Here is a 20,874-nt window from a genome sequence, read left to right on the forward strand (position 1 = left end):
TACTCGGGAGGCTGAGGCAGGAGAATCGCTTAAATCCAGGAAGTGGAAGTTGCAGTGAGCTGAGTTCACGCCACTGCACTCTGGCCTGGGGGCAACAGAGCAAGACTCCGTCTCAAAAGGAAAAAAAAAAAAGAAATAGCTGTGTTGTGTATGGTATTAAAAAAAAGCTGAATTGGATACACATATATAAGACTACCAAAAGGAAATATTTCTATATCTATTGGGCTTTTATGGTAAAAGACTGGTCCAAAGAAGATTTTCAATAGGTTATAAGGTAGAATTGGCCATTTTTATGTTCTTGCTCACTCCTGGCTCCTGAAATTCCTTTCTCTTCTGTGCACTTTACTTTTTTTCTGTTTTAACTTTACCCTTTACCCATTTTTTTGGTATTACAATTAGTAATGTACACATCTGTCTTTTTGTAGGTCTTGAAGCTCTGTATCATACATATCTTATTCAACTCCCAAGACAGTATCTTATCCATAACAGCCTTTCAATGAATACTTTTTGAATTGAATTTTGAGAAATGCTTAGCCTACATCAAGAAATAAGCAGGCTGCCTTGAGCCTGGGAAGTTATTCCAGTTTTGTCATTTGCTACCTGAGTGTCCTTGGAAAGGTTATGCAATGTCTCTGTTTCAGTTTCTCCAGCTATAAAATGGGGTATTAATAGTACTTACATCTTAGAATGGTTATGAAGATTGAGTGAAATCATTTATGTAAAGACTTGGCACAATGTCTACAGCCACATATAGGAAGGGATCAAAACCTTTAGATATTTAATTTTGGTAGTAATATCCCAGTACTTTTTTCAAGGAATACACAGAAGAATTATAGATTGCCATAATGAAAAGAAAACCAGAAATCCAGGACTCTAGATTTGCCTCTTGTTTCTGTCAATGTTTGTGTAAAGTTAGCTGATCAAGAAGATTTCCTGCGCTACGATTTCCTCATTTATAAATGAACTTGTTTGAACTTGATGTCTCTAGAACTTCCAGTTTAAAAGTTCTGTGACTATGATGTTTTCTGTCAATGGAAGGACATTTTAAAAATACAAGTTAATGTGTTAATATTTAGGAGATTGCATAATCTGCATATGATATACTGGGTTTACAGTTCAATATTAAGGTCTTATTGAGATCACTATAATTAAATGATCTTTCAATCTGTACAAATCTCATTTAAATGAGCAAAAGTAAGATGCATACTCATTATATAGAGTTAATTTTGTATCTACTTAAGCAAAAGTTGAAGCTGAACAGATGATTTATCAAATTAGGTTATCTGATGAGACCAGATACTAGTACAACTGAATAAGATGCCACACAGATGTAATGCATTAGCCGTGTTTTCAGAAAAAAGTTTAGATAATGCTTTGGTAACTTCTTTCTGTAAACTAATGTGTTATAATGCTTTTATGTGGATGTTTGCTGAATACTTATACATTATTATTCTGAAATTCTCTCCCTGACCCAGGTTTCAAGGAAAATTGACATTTAAATCTTAGTGACTGGAAAGTGGAACTGACCCATTCCACTGGGTTGTTCCTAAAGCTTGGGATTAAAAGAGATTACCATGGATCCTTCCTGGTTGTGAATCACATCACAACACATGAATGATTCAATCTTCTCTTTACTCCAAATACCTAGCTGGTACAACCCTTTTCTTTCCCCTCTGTTGAGTTTGACAGGTAACATTAGTGCTATCTCTCATTCCTTCTTTCACTGTCCATCCTTCAAACCATTGCAATCTGATTTCTCCCTTCCCACTTCATTGAAAGTGCTTTGGCAAAGGATGATGACTTCAAAATTGTTAAGTCCAACGAGATACTTTTATCCTTTTTTTTCACTCTGCTGCTTTAGACAACATTGCTGCATTCTCCTTCTTTAAACTTTTAAACCAGTAAACATACTTCTTCCCTGTCAATATTCTTACCTTGTTCTTTTTCTTTCTTATGGTTTGGTTCTTCTTTTTTGAGACTTCTCATTATCTTTTGCACCTTAATTTCATCTGTTCTTACACACTCAAGCAGAAAATCTTTTAGCTCTATTTTCAAAATGTACCCAGGGTCCTACCATTTTTTTACCACTCTAAACTACCATCATTCCTTCCTTAATTAATAGGGTAGCTTCCTAATTCATTTCTGTGTTTTTTTTCCCTTGCCCAATAAGTAGGTTCTGCAGATAGCCAGAGTAGGTCTTTTACAACTTAAATCATATTACTTTTCCAATCTAAACTTCTAATGGTTTCTAATCTTATTCAGAGTGAAAGCTGAAGTTCATACAATGGCCATTAAGGCTCTACTTGATTTGGTCCCTTGTTGTGTCCCTGATATCACTTCCTTCCACTCTCCTTCTTAATATTCTTCATTCATATTGGTTCCTTATTGTTCTTCAAATATATCAAGTAGACTCTTTACCTCGGGGCTTTGGAATTTGCTGTTTCTTCTGAACAAAAAACTATTTCCTAAGACATTCATATGATTCACCTTCTCACTTACTAAAATCTCTACTCAAAAAAAAATCTTAAAATTGCAGAACTTCCAGGCCACTCTCTATAAAATAACAACGTTCCCCACTTCCTCCTTATCTTATTTGATTTTTCTTCATCTTATACTATTGATGACTGCCAAATACTTAATTTTGACTTTCCTTTTAAGCTTCTTGATAAACATTTACACTTAATTGTCCCACAGGCACCATGAATGCACATGTCCAAAACTGAAGCTCATTGTAAGTGCTGGAAATACCCAGCTGCTTGTAACCTGAACAAAACCTGTGGCTTCATGTTTCTATGCAATTACTCATATTAATTTTTCACCTGTAACACTCTTATTCACCTCCTAATTTGTACTCATGCTACAAGATCAGATTTCATTTCTTCTTGTAGCCTTTTATTAACATAATTCCCACCCACAGAGTGGTGAGTTGTTCCTCCTCTCTGCTTCCATAACACTTTAAGCTTATCTTTAACCACTGTATGTATTGAATTATAGTGATATGTTTCCTTTAATTATCTCTCTTCTCTAATAAACTGTAATCTTAAGGATAAAGACTGTGCTGTAGATATCTTTCTATTCTTAGCGCCTCAGTATTGGCAGCATGGAAGGAACTCTAGGAATGTTTGTTAGACTGATCAGAGTTAATGTTCCTTAAAGAATGACAGAATGTAGAGGAGCCTATTAGCCAAAGAGAAAAGAAGAGAGGAGAAATAGTAAGAAAGGAACTTTGTGAATGACTCTGACTCATTATCAGGGCTAATCTTTATACAACTCCAAAAAATTGAGGGTTTAGATACTGGAGGTGGGATTAGGGGTGGAATAGGGTTGGCAGGGCAGTTCTGCCATTGGCTATGGATATTTTGGAAGAGAGGAAAGATAATAGAGGTAGCGAAACAGAGCTTTATTCTTTTAGCAGCTTCACAACACAGTACCAGTTGTCTGGCCCAGCTTTAGCTGTCCTGTTGGGTAGTGGTGGAAGGATAAATCACACAACAGTAAATTTTCAGGAGACCCAGAGGCATCTTGTTAACAGAAGGAAAGTAGAGAGAAACATTGTGTTTTAGAGAAACACCATGAATAAACACTTTAAAGAACAACCCTTGGTATATTTTCAATATACAGATAATTGAACAATAGGTTTCATTCAGTGCATGGCTGTTTTCTTATCCTTTTCTGACTAATGGCATTTAAGATGTTGAATTGAAGTATAGAGTAGATAATTCAGTGGTTGTTTCCATGGCTAGTAATTACAGACTCAGAATAGAAATCTACTTCTGATTCCAAATATTTGCTTTTAAATTTCTTGTTTCTTTAGAAAGAAATGAGTTGAAAGACATGTATTAAAGTGCTGGCTTCTTTCCCTACTATCAGTCAGACAAATTTTTTTTTGGATTCAGTTTCTTGATCTTTAAAATGAGAGTAGTAATATTTGTTCTACCTAGCTCCAAGGTTGTCATGAAGCTCCAGTGAAAGCTACAAATGGAAGAGTTACTGTTTTTAAGATAATCATAAAAACAGGAGGCCATCTTATGGGTATATATTAAATCAGTTTCACTTAAATTCTATTATTTGATGTGTGGTGTCTTAAAATGACAAACAATATTTAATTTATGCAAGTCAATGTCATTTTGCTATTGTTACTTCCAAAATGACTAATATACTGGATAAATTGATTATGACTGAATCAGAGCTGTCTCTGAAACAGTGTCTGCATGGCCACACTCAAAAGCCAGTTAGTTATAGAAGAGCACATGATCTCTTGTTTCTGCTCGTGGCTTATGCTTCCTGAATGAATTCCAAGAAGAAATCATGCTATATTGATTTCCTCTCTATAGTAGGTTGTGGTATAGCCAGCTTGGAAGGTATACATGATAGTACCAATTAGTAATATTTGTTAGAGGAAGCAGAATATCTTTATAATAAGTACTTTGCAACATTTTTTTTTCAGGAAATAAATGCTGTGAAAATCCTAATTGGCAATATTAACAGAATATTTAATGTGGCCCTCCAGTAGATCATTGGTAGTGAGGCAAAGTAGAGTCACTCCTGCTTCCACCATTGATTCCCAATCTCTTGTATTCTTCATATGGGAAGACCATGTGGGGTCTCTGATTTAATACATACGCTGTATTCTGAAGAATGGCATCCTTTTCTTGTAGGATATTGCCTTTAAGGTGGTGCTTCAGCTTTATCTTCAGTAGGATGTCCCAGTATTCTATGAGGCCTGATGTTTCTGGATGGCATACCTCTTTCTCTTGAAAGCTCATACGTTAGTCAGATGCTACATGTATGGAATTCCATGCTTGCAGAATGAAAAATCTATAACTCTTCAAATAGTGGTACTGGCTAAAGCACTGTGAGAAGAACTGGCTGGCCTCTGCTCTGTAAAGTAATGAAAACTTTATCTGGTATATATATTTATCCCTATGAGGATTAACTATTGGTGCTTCCAGTATGAAGAGACCCATTATGGCCAGCTGGCCAAGAGTGTCCGGTTGGTTTCCTCAAAGACTAGTGTCATATCATGAAATCAACATTTGCTTTTGTTGCTGGCGGATTGGATATTCAAAATCAGTGACCACTCCCTTCATGTGTACATAATGCTATTTCTGGGATGATCAATGATGAATGCTAGTTAACATAAACTGACTGAGTTATTTTCTCTATTTACTTGTTTAGTCCCTCTTCTATGGTGGGTGCTTTCAGTGAGTGTTATTAATTTTAGTAGTTCCCCCTTATCCACAAAGGATAAGTTCTAGGGCCCCAGTTGATACCTCAAACTGTGGATAGTACTAAACCCTATATATACCATGTATTTTTCATATATATATACACCTCTGATAAAGTTTAACTTCCAAGTTAGGTATGGGAAGAGTTTAGCAACACTAATAATAAAATAGAAGAATTATAACAATATGCCAGCATGTCTTCCCTTGTGCTTTGGGGCCATTATTAAATAAAACAAGGGTTACTTAAATACAAGCACTGTGGTACCGTGCAATCCGATAACCTAGAAAGCTGCAAAGTGACTATTGGGGAGGTGGCATAGAAAATACAGACCTGCTGCACAAAGGGATGATTCACCTCCTGGGTGAGACTAAGCAGGACAGTGAGGGATTTAATCATGCAATTTAAACTTGTGAATTGTTGAGTTCTAGATTTTTCTATTTAAGATTCTCAAACTGCTGTTGACCATGAGTAACTGAAACCATGGAAAGTGAAACTATGGATAAGGGGGGAGTACTGTTGCCAAGAAAGATTGCCAAATCCTCTCCTTAAAAAAACAAACAACTGTAAAGCTGGATGAACTTACAAAAACAACCCTTTCCACTCTGAACATTGAGCAACAGAATGCAACAATCTGAGAAACATTTGTGCTTGAAAAATTGATGAAATATGGGTAAGAGGTCTCAAGGTCTATTCACATTATGACAAAGGGTGACAGAGTTAATATAGCTCTGGGGCAAAACTATAAATGAATATCATTGTTTGTCCCGCATGAATGCCATACTGCCTCTGATTTTCTTACATGTTTAGTATAGGAAAACAATGCATTTATGAACTCAATAACTGTATACTAGATATTTGAGGACCCCTAACTTTTGTTGCCACCCTCATATCTTATCCTTTTGCATGGCACCATTACAGCTTGGTAACTACCAGCCAGCTTTGCTATTCTTGTGGGCGTTGGCACCTCTCATCACTTCCTCCCCACCCATCTTTCAAATGTCTGAAGTGTTGCGTTGGAAAGGGCTTTGTTCTCTGCTGGGACATTTTCTCAGATAATCAGCAGCAAAATCTTCAACAATTTAGCCTCCATCTTGTGCAAGGGGCTATCCATGTGCCGTATTCTACTCAGGATAGGGCCTTCCTTGCCAGCAGGGAGGTGAGTGAGTCATTCTGCAAACTATTTTTTTTTTTTTTTTACAGGGAGTCTCACTCTATCACCAGGCTGGAGTGTGAAGTGGCCTCATCTTGGCTCACAGCAACCTCTGCCTCCCAGGTTCAAGTGATTCTCCCGCCTCAGCCTCCCGAATACCTGGGACTACAGGCACGCCACCACGGCCGGCTAATTTTTGTATTTTTATTAGAGACAGGTTTCATTATGTTGGCCAGGATGGTCTCAATCTCTTGACCTCCTGATCTGCCCGCCTTGGCCTCCCAAAGTGCTGGGATTACAGGCGTGAGCCACCGTGCCCAGCAACTCTTTCTCTCAGATCACTATTGGTACCACCTATGTCAGTTCAGATCCTCCGAGAAGCAGACATCAAGACAGTATTATATGTGCAAGAGATTTATTGGGTAAGACGCCCATTAAAGATATAGGGGAGGTGGAGGAGGGAGAAAAAGTATGAGAGGTAGGGAGAAACCTTAGACCATAATGCAGCCATGACACCTGTAAAAAATAGAAAGAAGTAAGGAGGATGAGAGAGGAAAAGAGGTAGACTAAAGTTCGGAGAGTGTTCTGTCTTGGCTGATAGGGAGTCTTAGAGCAAAGATTGCCTATTAGAAGAGTCCTCTGTGAGAGAGAAATGGCCAGAACCTAGTACCTTCTCATTGGTTAGGGGCAGTTGTTGACTGAGATCAGCCTGAGGGAAGCATGGCCTTGGCCTGCTGTGGAAGCCGTCAGCCAATTATGCTCCTTAAGCAGGTTCTCTAGAAGTAAAATCTGTGGCCACTTCCATGGCCATCAGACTTATCTCAGGGGGCTAGGAAGAGAAAGGGGTAAAGAAGAAATCTATACATTGTTGAATTGTTTTACTTGATATTAAAATAGTGTATTCCTTTTGTGACACAAAAATTAATCATGACAATTTAAAAGGATTAAAAACAGAAGTAAGTGTCAATAGATGGGTATGCTTTGTCTCCTTCTAGGTTTAGAGAAAATATAGTTTAAAAAGGAATAAATCCACAATAGCTCTGGAATACAAGAGGTGAGACAAGAAGAAGAACAGAAAATTTGAGGAATTTCTGATATTCTCATATTCATAGGAAACTATACATCAAAAGTCACTTGAGATAGCCAAAAATGGTTTTGGGGAGGGCTCCACATTCCTAGTATGTAGATGTGAAGCAGCAGGGTCTCTGGGGTCCCCATAGGTCAATGGTATTTGATGCTGAGTGCAGAGTCAAGAGCTCATTTTTTGGCTGCAGCACTTTCTCTCTATACAGGGTGGCACCAGCCATCCAGGCACTACTGCGCACTTTCAGCCCATGTTCCCATTCATCCCATGTCCTTGATCCTGCTCCAGAAGCAAATTCCTTCATCCACTGCTGAACACAGATTTTGTAGCGGGTGTGGCATGGGCAGAAATTACATTGCCTGGATGAGAGAATATGGCCACATCCAAAAGATGGGTCTTGGACACTACACTCAGCAGCAAGCAGTCCTTGCTTCCACCTCACGCCCCCAATCACTGGAGATAGTTATGTTTTTTTTTAAAAAAAGCACCACAGACATCTGAATAATGAGATGTTTAAAAGCAAAACTAGATCAGCAGGCAAAAAAATACTTCCAAACATTTAGTGATAACCAAATCCATGAAAATTAGTGGATAACACCAGAACAAACAAATTAAAGAAAAATAGGATTTTAAGGAAGTATAAATAATATTCTTAAAGGGATAAAATATCCTTAAAGGGATAAAATTGATGTGACAAACAATAAAAGACTATTAAAAATAACAAGAATTCATAAAAATAAACTCCACAGGGGCCGGGCATGGTGGCTCACACCTGTAATCCCAACATTTTGGGAGGCCGAGGCGGGAGGATTGCTTGAGCCCAGGTGTTCAAGACCAGCCTGGGCAATATGGTGAAACTTTGTCTCTACTAAAAATACAAAAGTTAACCAGGCATGGTGGACCATGCATGTTATCCCAGCTACTTGGGAAGCTGAAGCAGGAGAATCACATGAGCCCTGGAATTCAAGGCTGCAGTGAGCCGTGATCACACCACTGTACCCCAGTAGTGGAAGGAAGAGTGACAGCAGCAGAGGAAGAGTGAGACCATATCTCAAAAAAAAGAAAAGAAATCATAGATGAATATTTTTAATCAGTAATTAAGAAGACTGAACAAAAAATTTAACCTAGAATTCAGCATAAAAAGATAAAAAGAATAATTTATGTAGCTTCAAAAATAGCTGTATCTGTCAACAAAGATTTCCACAAGGAGAGAACATTGTATGACGGTACAATGTTCTTATACTCTCAATAAGAAAATGTTCAATTTTCTTATACTCTCACATATTGGTTATTCATTAAAATATATTTTGCAAATCCAATAGGTTAAAAATTGTAAATGGTGTTTAATTTGCATTTATATGACAACTAGTGAGGTTCAGCATCATTTTTATATATGGATATATGTGTGTATAATATGTGTATATATACACATACATATTTTTGTGTGTGTGCATTACCTATTCATGACCTTGACTATTTTTTTATTAAATTATTGTTTTTTTTTGTTCTGATGTATTGTATTGACATATACCTTCTTTGTATGTAAAGGCTAATAGTCTCCTGCCAGTCATATAAACTATAAATATATTATCTTAGTTTGTAATTTTAAAAACTAGCTATGAATGTTTGTCTTTCATAAGACTTTAAAAAAATTTATTCAAATACGTTGATGTTTTCCTTTGTGTTTTCTGGGCCTTTTGACTTTCTTAAGTATTCACTTTCATCTAACTCCCCAGTCTAAGCTACTTTTTATTTAACTCCTTTATAGCTATCTTTTTCTATTTTAGATCTTAAATTTAATTTAATTTTAAATTAAATTTAAATGTATGTTTAATTACATATGAATTAAATATTGAATTTTTTTCTCATACAAGGAGGGGTGTGTGTGTGTGTGCGTGTGCGTGAATATAAAAATGCACATTCTCTTTTTGGTTTTATTGATCACTTTACTAATTTCTCTCCTAGTATCATGTTTTAGTTACCAAAGTTTTATATTTATAACTTATTGAGAACATGATCCCATATTGTCCTCTTCCAAATTGATTTCTGCTATTACATGTTTATGTTCTCTAGAAAACCTTTTGAACGTATATGTCAGGTTTCTATATGACTTACGCCTTTTAGTTTTAAAATAAAACACATATACATAAAACCACAAACACAACACATATATGTAACTTAATAAATTAATATAATATGAACACTCTTGTAACCATGACCTGAGTTAAGAAATGGAATTTTGGGCTGGGCGCGGTGGCTCACGCCTGTAATCCCAGCACTTTGGGAGGCTGAGGTGGGTGGATCACGAGGTCAGGAGATCGAGGCCATCCTGGCTAACACGGTGAAACCCCGTCTCTACCAAAAATACAAAAAATTAGCCGAGAGTGGTGGCGGGTGTCTGTAGTCCCAGCTACTTGGGAGGCTGAGGCAGGAGAATGGTGTGAACCCAGGAGGCGGAGCTTGCAGTGACCCAAGATCACACCACTGCACTCCAGCCTGGGCGACAGAGCAAGACTCCGTCTCAAAAAAAAAAAAGAAATGGAATTTTGCTTGCCATCCTAGAATCCATCCATGTGCCCTATCCCAATCCAAATTTCCCCAATGGTTACCACTATCTTGATTTTGTACTAATTACTTCCTTGAGTTTCTTTACAGGTTTATCAGTTAAGTGTGAATCCTAAGCTACAGTCTTACAGATTAGTTGCATATTGGCTATGACTTTTATATCTTTTAATATACAGGCTCTTTTTTATTTTTTCTTTGGAATTCATTTGTTGAGGAACCTAGATCATTTGGCCTACTGATTATCTAGTCCGGATTTTGGCAGTTTCATACTTACAGTGCTGTACTGTTCAACACATTCCTCTGCCCTCTGATTTCCTGCAGAGTGACAGGTGGATCCAGAGGCTTGATGGGCTAAGGTTTGATTCCTTTAGCAAACCTATTGGTGGTCATTTTTTTTCTTTTTCATCAGAAGGCACAGAATGGCTGGTTTCTCTCAATTTCTGTCTCTCTCTTTTATTATAATGCTAGCAATTATGAATGTTAATGTCTTGAATAATCAATTTATTAAAGGTTGCAGAATGATGATAGTATAATTCTAGTATTTTATTTTCATTTATTAGCTAGGATAATTTTATGAAGAGTTGCTTTTCCTCATCTACTATGTAGTTACCCAGTGGTACAATTCATATAAGGAAGACAATATAGATGCAAAATTATTACCCTTAATTTATCACTTTTCAAGATATTGCCAGTCATCTTCTGGAAACCTATTGGTCTTTTTTCCCTACCATTATGAACTCATAGATGTGTTTTAATCTATTGGCATTATTATCTTGTTGAAGCTCAAATTGTCACATCTTTGGCCAGTGGAACCCTCTTCCAATTGGTTCATGAGTGTTTTTGACATGACCTAAGTCATTTTTGGTCGCTTCCTTTCTATTTGGTTTGACAAGGTACTTCAGGATTATTTTATGCATTTCCTATCTCAGTTCTAGGATCAGGCTTTCTCCAAGAAATCAAAATCAGGTTTACTTTAGCAGAAAATTGGGCTTCAAGATTAAAATCTGAATGTTGGAACAATTATTTATTTTGGGATAGTCATTGTTTATAGGCATTTTAATGGAATTAAATATATAGAAAGAGCTGGGAAACACACTTCCCCACAAAAATATACATTTAAATATACATATTTACAGAGAATATGCTTCACAAGTTTATGTTGATATTTTTAATTCAGGATCAGTACTATAAGGTTTTAACTTAACCTTCCTTAAACACATAGATGATTGAAATATTTTATAATTTCTTATTTTCTTTATTCTGCATTACAAATGTAACAGTTTCAGAATAACAATACCAATATGACCACTCTCAGTATGATTATGGAGCACAATTATGTGATTTTTGCATATGCTATCCTCTTTTCTTGCTCATATTTTAGTAGTTGAGCTATAGCTACAAGGTCTGAGCATACAACAATTATATACTATATTCTTTTCCTTTTTAAAACTTCTCATTTATTTTTAGTTCTAAATGTAATTATAATTAAAATGCTCACCATCAATGCTTTTGGAGATATTTCTCTAGACATATTGATTGTTAGACTCCTTTAATAGATTCATCAGAAAGTGTTTATAAGGACACTCTGAATTCTTGAGTGTTGATAATGGTTTGTCTTATGCTCTTTATATTTGAAAGCCAGTTTTGCTAGACATAAAGTCCTTGATATACATATTCTGTCACTCAGATTGCCAAATATATTGTTCCATTTTCTTCTGGCAGAAAGCATTGCTGCCAAAGTTTAATGACAATCTAACTTTCTTTACCTTATAAGACAAATGCTGTTTTAAAAAATGCCCAAAGAATTTTTTTCCTTTAGAATCCGGGAGTTTTACCATAGTGTACCTTAGTGACAGTAGTTCAGAGACCAAATTGTCAGGTATATATGTGTTTTTTTACTATGCAATTTCAAATCTTTACTTCAAGAAAGTTTTTTTTTTGAATAATAGTTTTTAGTATTTATTCTATGCCCTTGCTTTGATTTTTATTTCAGGGACTCCTGCGATCTATATCTTGGATTGTTTTTCCAAGACAATGTCTTCAACATTTTCTCTCTTTGATATTTGTCACTCCCTTCTAATCCATTTTTGTCCTTTTGTTTTCAAAAATTTTTGAAGTACAATTTACATTAAGTAAAGTTCATCTTACTGTTACTTCAAGAAATGCATAAAGGCTTGTAATCACCACCAAAATTAAGATATGGAGCAAATACAACAACTCTCAAAATTTCTGTGTGTCTTTGTAGTTGAGAATTTCCTCCACCCAATCCCTGGCAATCTTTTGTCTCTACAGTTTTGCATTTACAAGAATGTCAAATAAATAGCATCATACAGTGTGCAGATTTTTGAGTCCCTTTTCTTTTACTTGGTGGCATGCATTTAAGAGACAGCCATATTGTTGCATTTATTATGGTTTATTATTTTATCGCCAAATAATATTCTACTATGTAGATATACCGCAGTTTGCTTCTTCATTCCACAGAAGAGGGATATTGGGTTGTTTCCAGTTTGCAGAAATTATGAGTAAGCCTGCTATTATAATTCATGTAAATGGTTTTGTGTAAATTAAATTTTTATTTCACTTAAGGAAATATGTAGGAGTTGAATTGCTGGTTGATAAAGTATATGTTGAGAAAGGTATTCTTCAACTAGATAGAATGATGCTAATGTGAGGAAAGAGGAGAAATTCAGCATCCAGGGTAGTGACCGAATGGTGTTAAGTTCCCAGTCTCAATTTTTTGCAAGGTCCAGTTGCTTCTTTGTTTGTCCCTTAACTTGGTTGTCCAATTATTCCTTGGATTTCATGAAATAAACTAATGTCCCCTGGATAATTTCTTTTTGTTCCTCCAGGCAGTTCTAAATAGATTTCTGTCACATGCAAACAAGTGAGACTTGTATCATAGGAACATTTGATTGGGCCCTTAGAGGTAACTAGCCATTGTGCTAAACTCTTAACATGTATTTTACAATTTGTGCACTAGGATTAATAAGCCTTGTCCATTGGTTGCAATAAAAATTTAATTCATTTTATAAAAAGAAAAAATCAAAAGTAAATAACTGCATATGGAACTGATGTGTTTACTAAAGATTATAAACATACTGTCAAGCATCGTCAATGCATTTCTTGTTTCTAAGAAATACACTTTTCATTACAAATGACTTCATGGTTTAGTACAGGCATTTCAATGTTGACAAATTAAGTACAACTCTACTTTGCACAAAAGAACAAGCCACATTGCTTTGAATTCACAAATACATATGTAGATTAATTCTTTGGTGTATATATTAATAAATAACATATTTATAAACTGAGTTCTTAAAATGAAAGATTTAACATCATGATGGCTAAAGCACTTTGCTATTTCCATTGGTTCTAACAATATTCTGCTTTCTGGTTCCCTTGGGAACAGATTTTCAAAATACAAATGATATAAAAGGTCCCTAAATATGGCCATAATCTTTATTGAATAATTTAAGATATTTTGATATCCCTTCTGTTTTGGAATGAATATTCTTTTCCTTGAATCATTTTATAAGGATTCATATCATAGTTGCTATATGAGTGGTCCAGATGCTATGTGCTGTTACAGTTGAAAAGAAGCAGAGTATACTTTCTGGGTCGGAAGGCTCAGGGAAGGCTTCATGAAGAAGACGGCACTGGGACAGGTCCTTGGAAATTATTAGTGTCCAGAGACCATTGACAGCAATAGGAATGCCTCTTTTAAAATATTATGTATGTAATATACTAAACTGGGGTTCAGATAAAAAGAAATAATTAAATTTCTTTTTCACAGTAATTTGAACATTCCATTGAAATCAACAAATCCATACAGCTGGATTCTTGGCTAATTAAAAAAACATCATGCCCTTCTGATCCTACCATCTGCTGTTGAAATTAGAGAAGGCAACTTCTAGAATAAAATTATATTATTATCTAATTTGCAATGGAGTATTTTTGTTGTGTTTAGCATGGTTCTATATTGTACCTTTATTTGTAGATGACTGTCATAAGTTGCAGCAAGAGATGTTTTACAATTTCCATGATCTCTTGGAAAAATAATAGGTCATTAAAAACAAACATTATTTATTCATCAGAGATCAAAGCATCAGTGTGGTCATTCAGTAAAATATGCTTTTAGACTTAAAAATGACTCAAATGGTTTTCTCAAGTAATAAAACAATCTCAAATGCAATAAGAGCACACTTTAAAAAAGAAAAAATTATGGCATTTAGAAGCAGTAGAAAAAATAATATATAGCCTATTTGTAATTGATTAAAACAGGACCTCTGACATATCTGTGTACTAAGGGGCTTGTTCATGGAGCCATTGCTAAGCAGGAAAGTGTCACTAATTATTTATGAAACATTTAAAAAATCATGGCTCATACTTGGCATAAATTCTAAATTAATTCCTTGAGGACTTGTATTGTATGTAGCATTAGCAGCCTGATTTGCTGACCCACACAGATCAGAGACCATTGTAGAAACTTGTGAGCAGAACTTTTCTAAATGTTTGCAAGACGTTGAAAGACTTGAAATATATTCTTCTATCCCCAAGATTGCTTTAATAAGCAAGAAACCACAGACATTGTCTAACAATATTTGTGTATGCTTTAGTAAATGTGATGTTACGTATGTGGTACCACATTAAGTAGCAGATGAATGAGTTTCATCCACTATGTGAATTGTATTTAGTAATGCAATAGATCACATGCTTTGAAATGATTGTCTCTGTGCCACCATTGATTGATTCCCTCAGTTTTCAAGTACATTAGTGAGATGTGGGGTGGTCTGAGACTCTGGGTGCATCAGCCTCATCCATTTTAGCCAGCACACGATATAAGTTCCAATCTCTAAATATGCTCTGCCAATAAAAGGTTGGGAAACACTGAAAACAGCATTTATTGAGCAATGGTTATGTAGAAGATATTGCCCTATGGATTAAAAATGTTTTAAAAACAAACAACAGTATATTGTATGCTTTTAAAAGTGTTTAAAACTGAATGTAAGAGAGATAGGTAATGAATAAAAACAGTCACAAACTCAAGTTTCTAATTGCGGCTTAAATGAATTTATCATGTATCCAAAGCCCCCATTTCCACTATAATGGAAAACAATTTTGCCAAGGAAACTTCCAGTTTATATCTGTATCTTCTGTATAAACTCAGGTGACTTCAAGGCTCTTCTCCTGTTCCTCTTCCCCGGGATAATCTTGGATCCTGGTACTTCCATATCTTTTTGACATTGGATGGAGTGGGAAGGGTCTGAGGCTCCTATCTGTGGCGTTCACTGCAGGTGCAACGTGCCATCTGTCCTCTGTGTCAGCAAAGTGCAGTGATTGCTCTGGGAAGCTCGTTCTGCTCTGTAGGTCCCTCACTGCTCATCCTCTTACCCTTCAGGGATGCCATATCTTTATTTTTGCCTAACCTCTGTGCCTCATTGGGTAGGAGAATCTTTTTGGATTTTCTCCATATCTCTAGGATTCCAGGAAGGATGGTGGAATGAGCATTAATCTCAAGGCACTTCTCTGCCTAGATCTGCTCTGCTGTGATTCATACCCCAGAGCAGTGGCTCTATATTGGCAAGTATCATGCTGCTAGGCTGCCTCTTTCCAGAAATCCAGAAAAGAAGTGAAGCTTTTCTTCCTTCATATTCTCAACATATTTCGCTATTTCTATGCACCCCACTTCTCTTGGTTTCAGGCCTTCAGTGGAAGAACGAAGGACGGAGGCACAACAGATGCATGTAGCTTCCCTCTCCCAATCCTCTCCAAGCTCTTTTTCCCACTCCACATATGCACGTCCAAAGTTCTGGACAACTGGTCTTACACAAGCGTATTTCTTCCTCCCATTCACTGTAGTTTATAATCTAAATAAGTGTTGTTTTAAAATGTTTTAATAAAAACCTTCTGTAAGAAATACATTTTTGTATCAACCCCAGAAATCACATACTGAATTTACTTTTACTGATTGCAATGCATTCTATTGTATTTCATTTGAAAAAAATAATACTGATCTGGTCTTAGTAAATTGATTTCACGACCTACTTGTGGGCCTTGACCAACAGTTTGAAAAGCAATGCTATAAACCTTTACTCTGAGTTCCTACTTGCTCCTGAGAAGCAGAACCAGGATTTTAGAAACTCAGTAGGTATCTTCTACACTTGGGTGGCTGGATCATGCAAATGGAAAGAGCTTTGACCTTCAGAACAAAATCTATGCTGTGTGCTTAAAAAAGTCCATTCAAAAATCCATTTGAATTATTTCTTTGTTCTATATTCCACTCTACATCTTCAACAATGAATATCTCTGGGTATTTGAGCAGAGAACAGTAAGAAAAATGAGAGAAAGCATCTACAGATTTTATCCTGCTACATAGAAATCAGGACTGAGTACCACAGAATTTTTAAATGTCACAGGAATCTAGAGAGATTAATTTTCCTAACTGAGCAGTTCACAAAGGACACTGAGATTCAGAGTGGTTGTCTAACTTGCCCAATGCCACAGAGCTTGTTAGAGCCCAAATTCAGACTTTTCACTTTGGCTGTCATGTCACCATTCTTTCCACTTGATACTATTTCAGTCTCTTCTTAAAATTAGAAAATTCTGCAAATGACATATAATGTACTAACATGGGGTGGGGATGATTTGCATGATGTTTTTAATAATTGTTAGCTCCTTTTTTCTTCCTGATCTTAAAGGATTTGTGGTTGAAGTATTTATTACATCAGATGCAGTTCCTAATTTTCTACGTTTCCATTCTCTCCTTTTTTCTTCCTTCCTTCAAATTTAGGGTGCTGAGAGAAGAGCACCCTGTTTTCTGCTCACATACCCAGGGTATACTACCTATGTACTTTTGTAGAGTCATTATTAAGCTTTGGTCTTAAGGAGTCTGACACTCATCTTCCATAAAACAAACTTTTGAGGATTAAACTGGTCATCACCTGGCTCTTTGGCTGATTTACTCAGTAATATGAAACCATCCTCTATTTCAACTCTGTTTAGAGAAAACGTATGTTATACACTGATGTAAAAATATCTGGACAGTTCTGATGATTTACATCAGGGATGAGCAAAAAGAACTTTATTTGAAAAAAATATGTATTTAAGAAAAAGCACTTAGCCCTTTTAGAAAGTGATTTATCAACACACGTCAAGGATTTCTGAAATACATATTAGTATTTATCTCAGTTATGATTAAAGCAAAATATTATACTGTATACAACTTAAATATAAGCAGTAGTAAGATGATTAAGTAGATTATGACACTTGTCCAGAATAAATTATTATGTAACCCTGAAATGTGATATTGATAATCAGTGCCTATGAGTATGGGGAATGCTCGTGTTTTAAAGTTTTTATAATGGACGTATTAAACTACATCCTCAGAATGAGATTAACTGTGCAAAAACAATTGCATAGAAAACTATTAGAAGAAATAGATCAAGATATAATAATGATTATCTTTGAGAGATGGACTTATAGTGGTCATATTTCTTTTTTCCTTCTGAATCTTAGCTTTTTCTTCAATTATCATGCATTATACTTACTCAGAAAAATAAAATAATTTGAAAAAGGCATTTAAAATATGTAATATCAGTTTTAAAGTTGAAATTGAGGAAAAATTTCAGGCTTTAAGCTTTTAAAATATTTACGTTGTGTTTGATTACAATGTTCCCAAAAGCTTTGTGAGTTGGGGCATTAGTGCAGTTTTTCAGATGAAATACCCTGTGATGTAACACCGGTGAATGACAGCCACTGTTAATAATGTGAATTATGCAACACTATGTTGAACACAAAGAACATCAACTTTAAACAACAGGTGGAGTTATTATTTAGCATTTTGGATGGGGCATGCTATTTGTCTTCTGTTGCTATTTATAATTTAGGACTGTCATTTGATTCAGAACAGAGGAACTAGTTGAAAAAAGAAGTGAATAGGCACCCCCCAACTTTCTCCTCTGTGAGGATGGTACCTGCAATCAATCCTGCTAGAATGCGCAGCAGCTACAAATGGGTCTGCTTTGTTGAATTCACTGGCTGTACCCACAGTCCACACTGTAGTAGCTGAAGCAATCTTCCTTTCAAAATATTGATTTCCTATGGAATTGTCACTTAAAATGATGGATCTGTAGTTGGGTTGGGACCTGGAGGAAAGATGGTTGTGTTTGTGTTGCAGGCATGAATCTTGATAGGCTTTGTCCTCCACACAAAGGACAAAAGGAAAGGAAAGAAATTATTAGAGTTGAGAGAAAGATTAAGGAAAATACTTTAATCATCTTCCAATTTTACAGGCCAATTTCTAACACTTAGAGCAAGGTTATTTATGAGCCCATCATTTCACAGTAGAATTTTTTTTATTGTTCCTAAAGCCAAAGTAGTCAGAGTTATGGTTATGTACTTTTCAACAGAAATGCAGGAAGTTTTACTTTGTTGGCTATTTATTGGTAGTAATTTTCTGTTTCTCAGAGGAGGTCTGAAGGCTGATCTTTGGGTCATAGTGATAACAGTCCTTTCATCATAAGTCAGATTTCCCAGAACCCTGCAAGTTTCCATTTAAGAAGGGCCTGATTCCTAGTTCCTTCCTTCCATCCTGAAATACTAGACCTTACTCCCTTCTTCCCACTCTCTCTTCTCTTGACTTCTTTTACATAATATAAATTTCATCCAAGAATGGATCTTCTTTTTCTGTAATTTGTCATTGCTTTTTTTCTGCCATATGAGGCCAATTATTTCATCCTTTCTTTTCTTATCTTTTTTTTTCTTTTATTCTCTGGTTTTTACTTCAGAAACAGCCCAACTTCATTGGTTTGGGGTTCATTAATCAGACTAGTTATTCACCTGACACAGACCCTTATTCTATTATTCCAGATAGGCACAAAGCTATTAATATATCTTTTTGTTTTCTTAGTTTTAACAAATAGCCTGTGATGCAAAGCATATGCCTGAGATTGCATATGCTCATGTATTTAAGTATGTGATATACAAACACATTAGGTTCATACAGCAATTAATGTATGACTATCATCAGTTAATGCAATATTATTCGTAAATTTTGTAATAGCAAAATTTTGGCTTTATTATCAGACAATAATCTTTAACCATTTTCTACAGTTTTTTTTTAAAAGTCACTAATTTCTCTGCCTACACCAAATATAATAAACCAAATTAAACCATTTGTAGATGATGAAACATTATCAGTGGATACCATATAACAAGTCTCTTAGGGATTTTTGAGTCACTGGGTTATTGTTTCCTCAGGCTAAATGACCACTGTGATTCTTTGTTATTGTTTTATGTGTGTATATGTGTGTGTATATATCCTTTTTGTCTACAGTCAGCTGACTTTTCTATCTTCAACGTGTGCTTTCCACCTTCTCTAATTTTCTTTTAATCTACTATGGCCTAAAAGAATCATATCTAAACTTAGCAGAATTCTGTCCACAGTAGAAATATTCACTGAGTGATATCTAAAAACTAAAAAATTTTAAATGTAAAGAGAGATTTAGTACACATTTTTGACCTCTATTTTTGATTAATTGTGGTCTGTAATACCTTATTCCCTAATTCTTTTTTCTCTCTCTCTCTTTTATTTATTTTTTCTTTTTTAGATTGTGTCTCACTCTGTCACCCAGGCTGGAGTGCAATGGTACGATTTGGGCTCACTGCAACCTTCATTTTCCGGGTTCAAGTGATTCTGGTGCCTCAGCCTCTTGAGTAGCTGGGACTACATATGGCTGCCACAAGGCCCTGCTTATTTTGTATTTTTAGTAGAGATGGGGTTTTGCCATGTTGGCCAGGCTGGTCTCAAACTCCTGGCCTTAAGTGATCCACCCACCTCAACCTCCCAAAGTGCTGAGATTACAGGTGTGAACCAGTGAGCCCGGCATAGTTCTTGATTCTTACTAGGATAGCAGAAACATAAAATTGTTGGGCAAGTATGATATAGAAATATATGACTATTTATAAGCAGTATTCATAATAAATAGATCAACTATCAAAATGTTGTGAGGATTAAATATATCCTATATGCAAGTATTTAGTACATTAAAGTCACCCAGTAGGAAAAGAAGAGAAAGAGCTAGACAGAGGGAGAGCCACAGACTGTTCTCTCAGGGAAGAATTGGCTAAAAAGGCCTGGCTTAGGACTTGTTTGGTAGCCATCTCTAGCATTTTTTACTGAATCACAATTTTTGACACCATTGTCAGACATACAGCAATCTGACCTTCATCTTTGTTTTGTTTAGGACACATTCCATACATTTCTTTATTTAGAGAATATATTTAGTTTGGATGATGGACTAGGATGTGTGTTATGTGGATGAATGTAAGGTGAAATGGAGCATAAAAACATCAATTTAGAGCAGTGATTCTGGTTTTAGCAGTCAATTGCATTTCAAGAACACTGAAAAAAGTAGAATTAATTTGGCATATGGTTGCTGATGATAACCTAACATCATGGCAGTATCTTATTATTGAATAATTAAAACAACACTATCAAACAGCAGTAACCCTCACAATATAAGCATAAACACATAGTAGGATTCAGGTGCCCTATTTTAGATTCTAGTTGGTAAAATGCTGATTAATCAGAAATCTTTACATTAGGAGAATAAATCAAGTTTCAACAGTGAAATAATTTCTACTCTAAAATAATAAAATAAACCAGCCTAATATTTCTGAAAAATTCTTCAGTAAGTTAAAATTTAAAAAAATGTTTTCTAGGAAACTCAGATAGCCAGGGTTCATCCTTTTATTGCTGGTGTAACATTGTTATTTAAAGTTTTATTGTAGTGGTATTTTTAAAGGAGACATCTCTCCTCTTTCAACATAGTAGGCCTGTATGAAT

The 20,874-nt window shown here is 35.5% G+C and overlaps 1 long non-coding RNA gene across 1 annotated transcript in view; it reads left to right on the forward strand.

Annotated features, from left to right (window-relative positions):
- LOC105379107 (uncharacterized) overlaps window positions 1-20,874 on the forward strand; it is a 339,090-nt gene that overhangs the window by 11,340 nt on the left and 306,876 nt on the right. The window lies entirely within an intron of this gene.

This window comes from Homo sapiens, chromosome 5 (genome assembly GCF_000001405.40).
Source record: "Homo sapiens chromosome 5, GRCh38.p14 Primary Assembly".
Taxonomy (NCBI): Eukaryota; Metazoa; Chordata; class Mammalia; order Primates; family Hominidae; genus Homo; species Homo sapiens.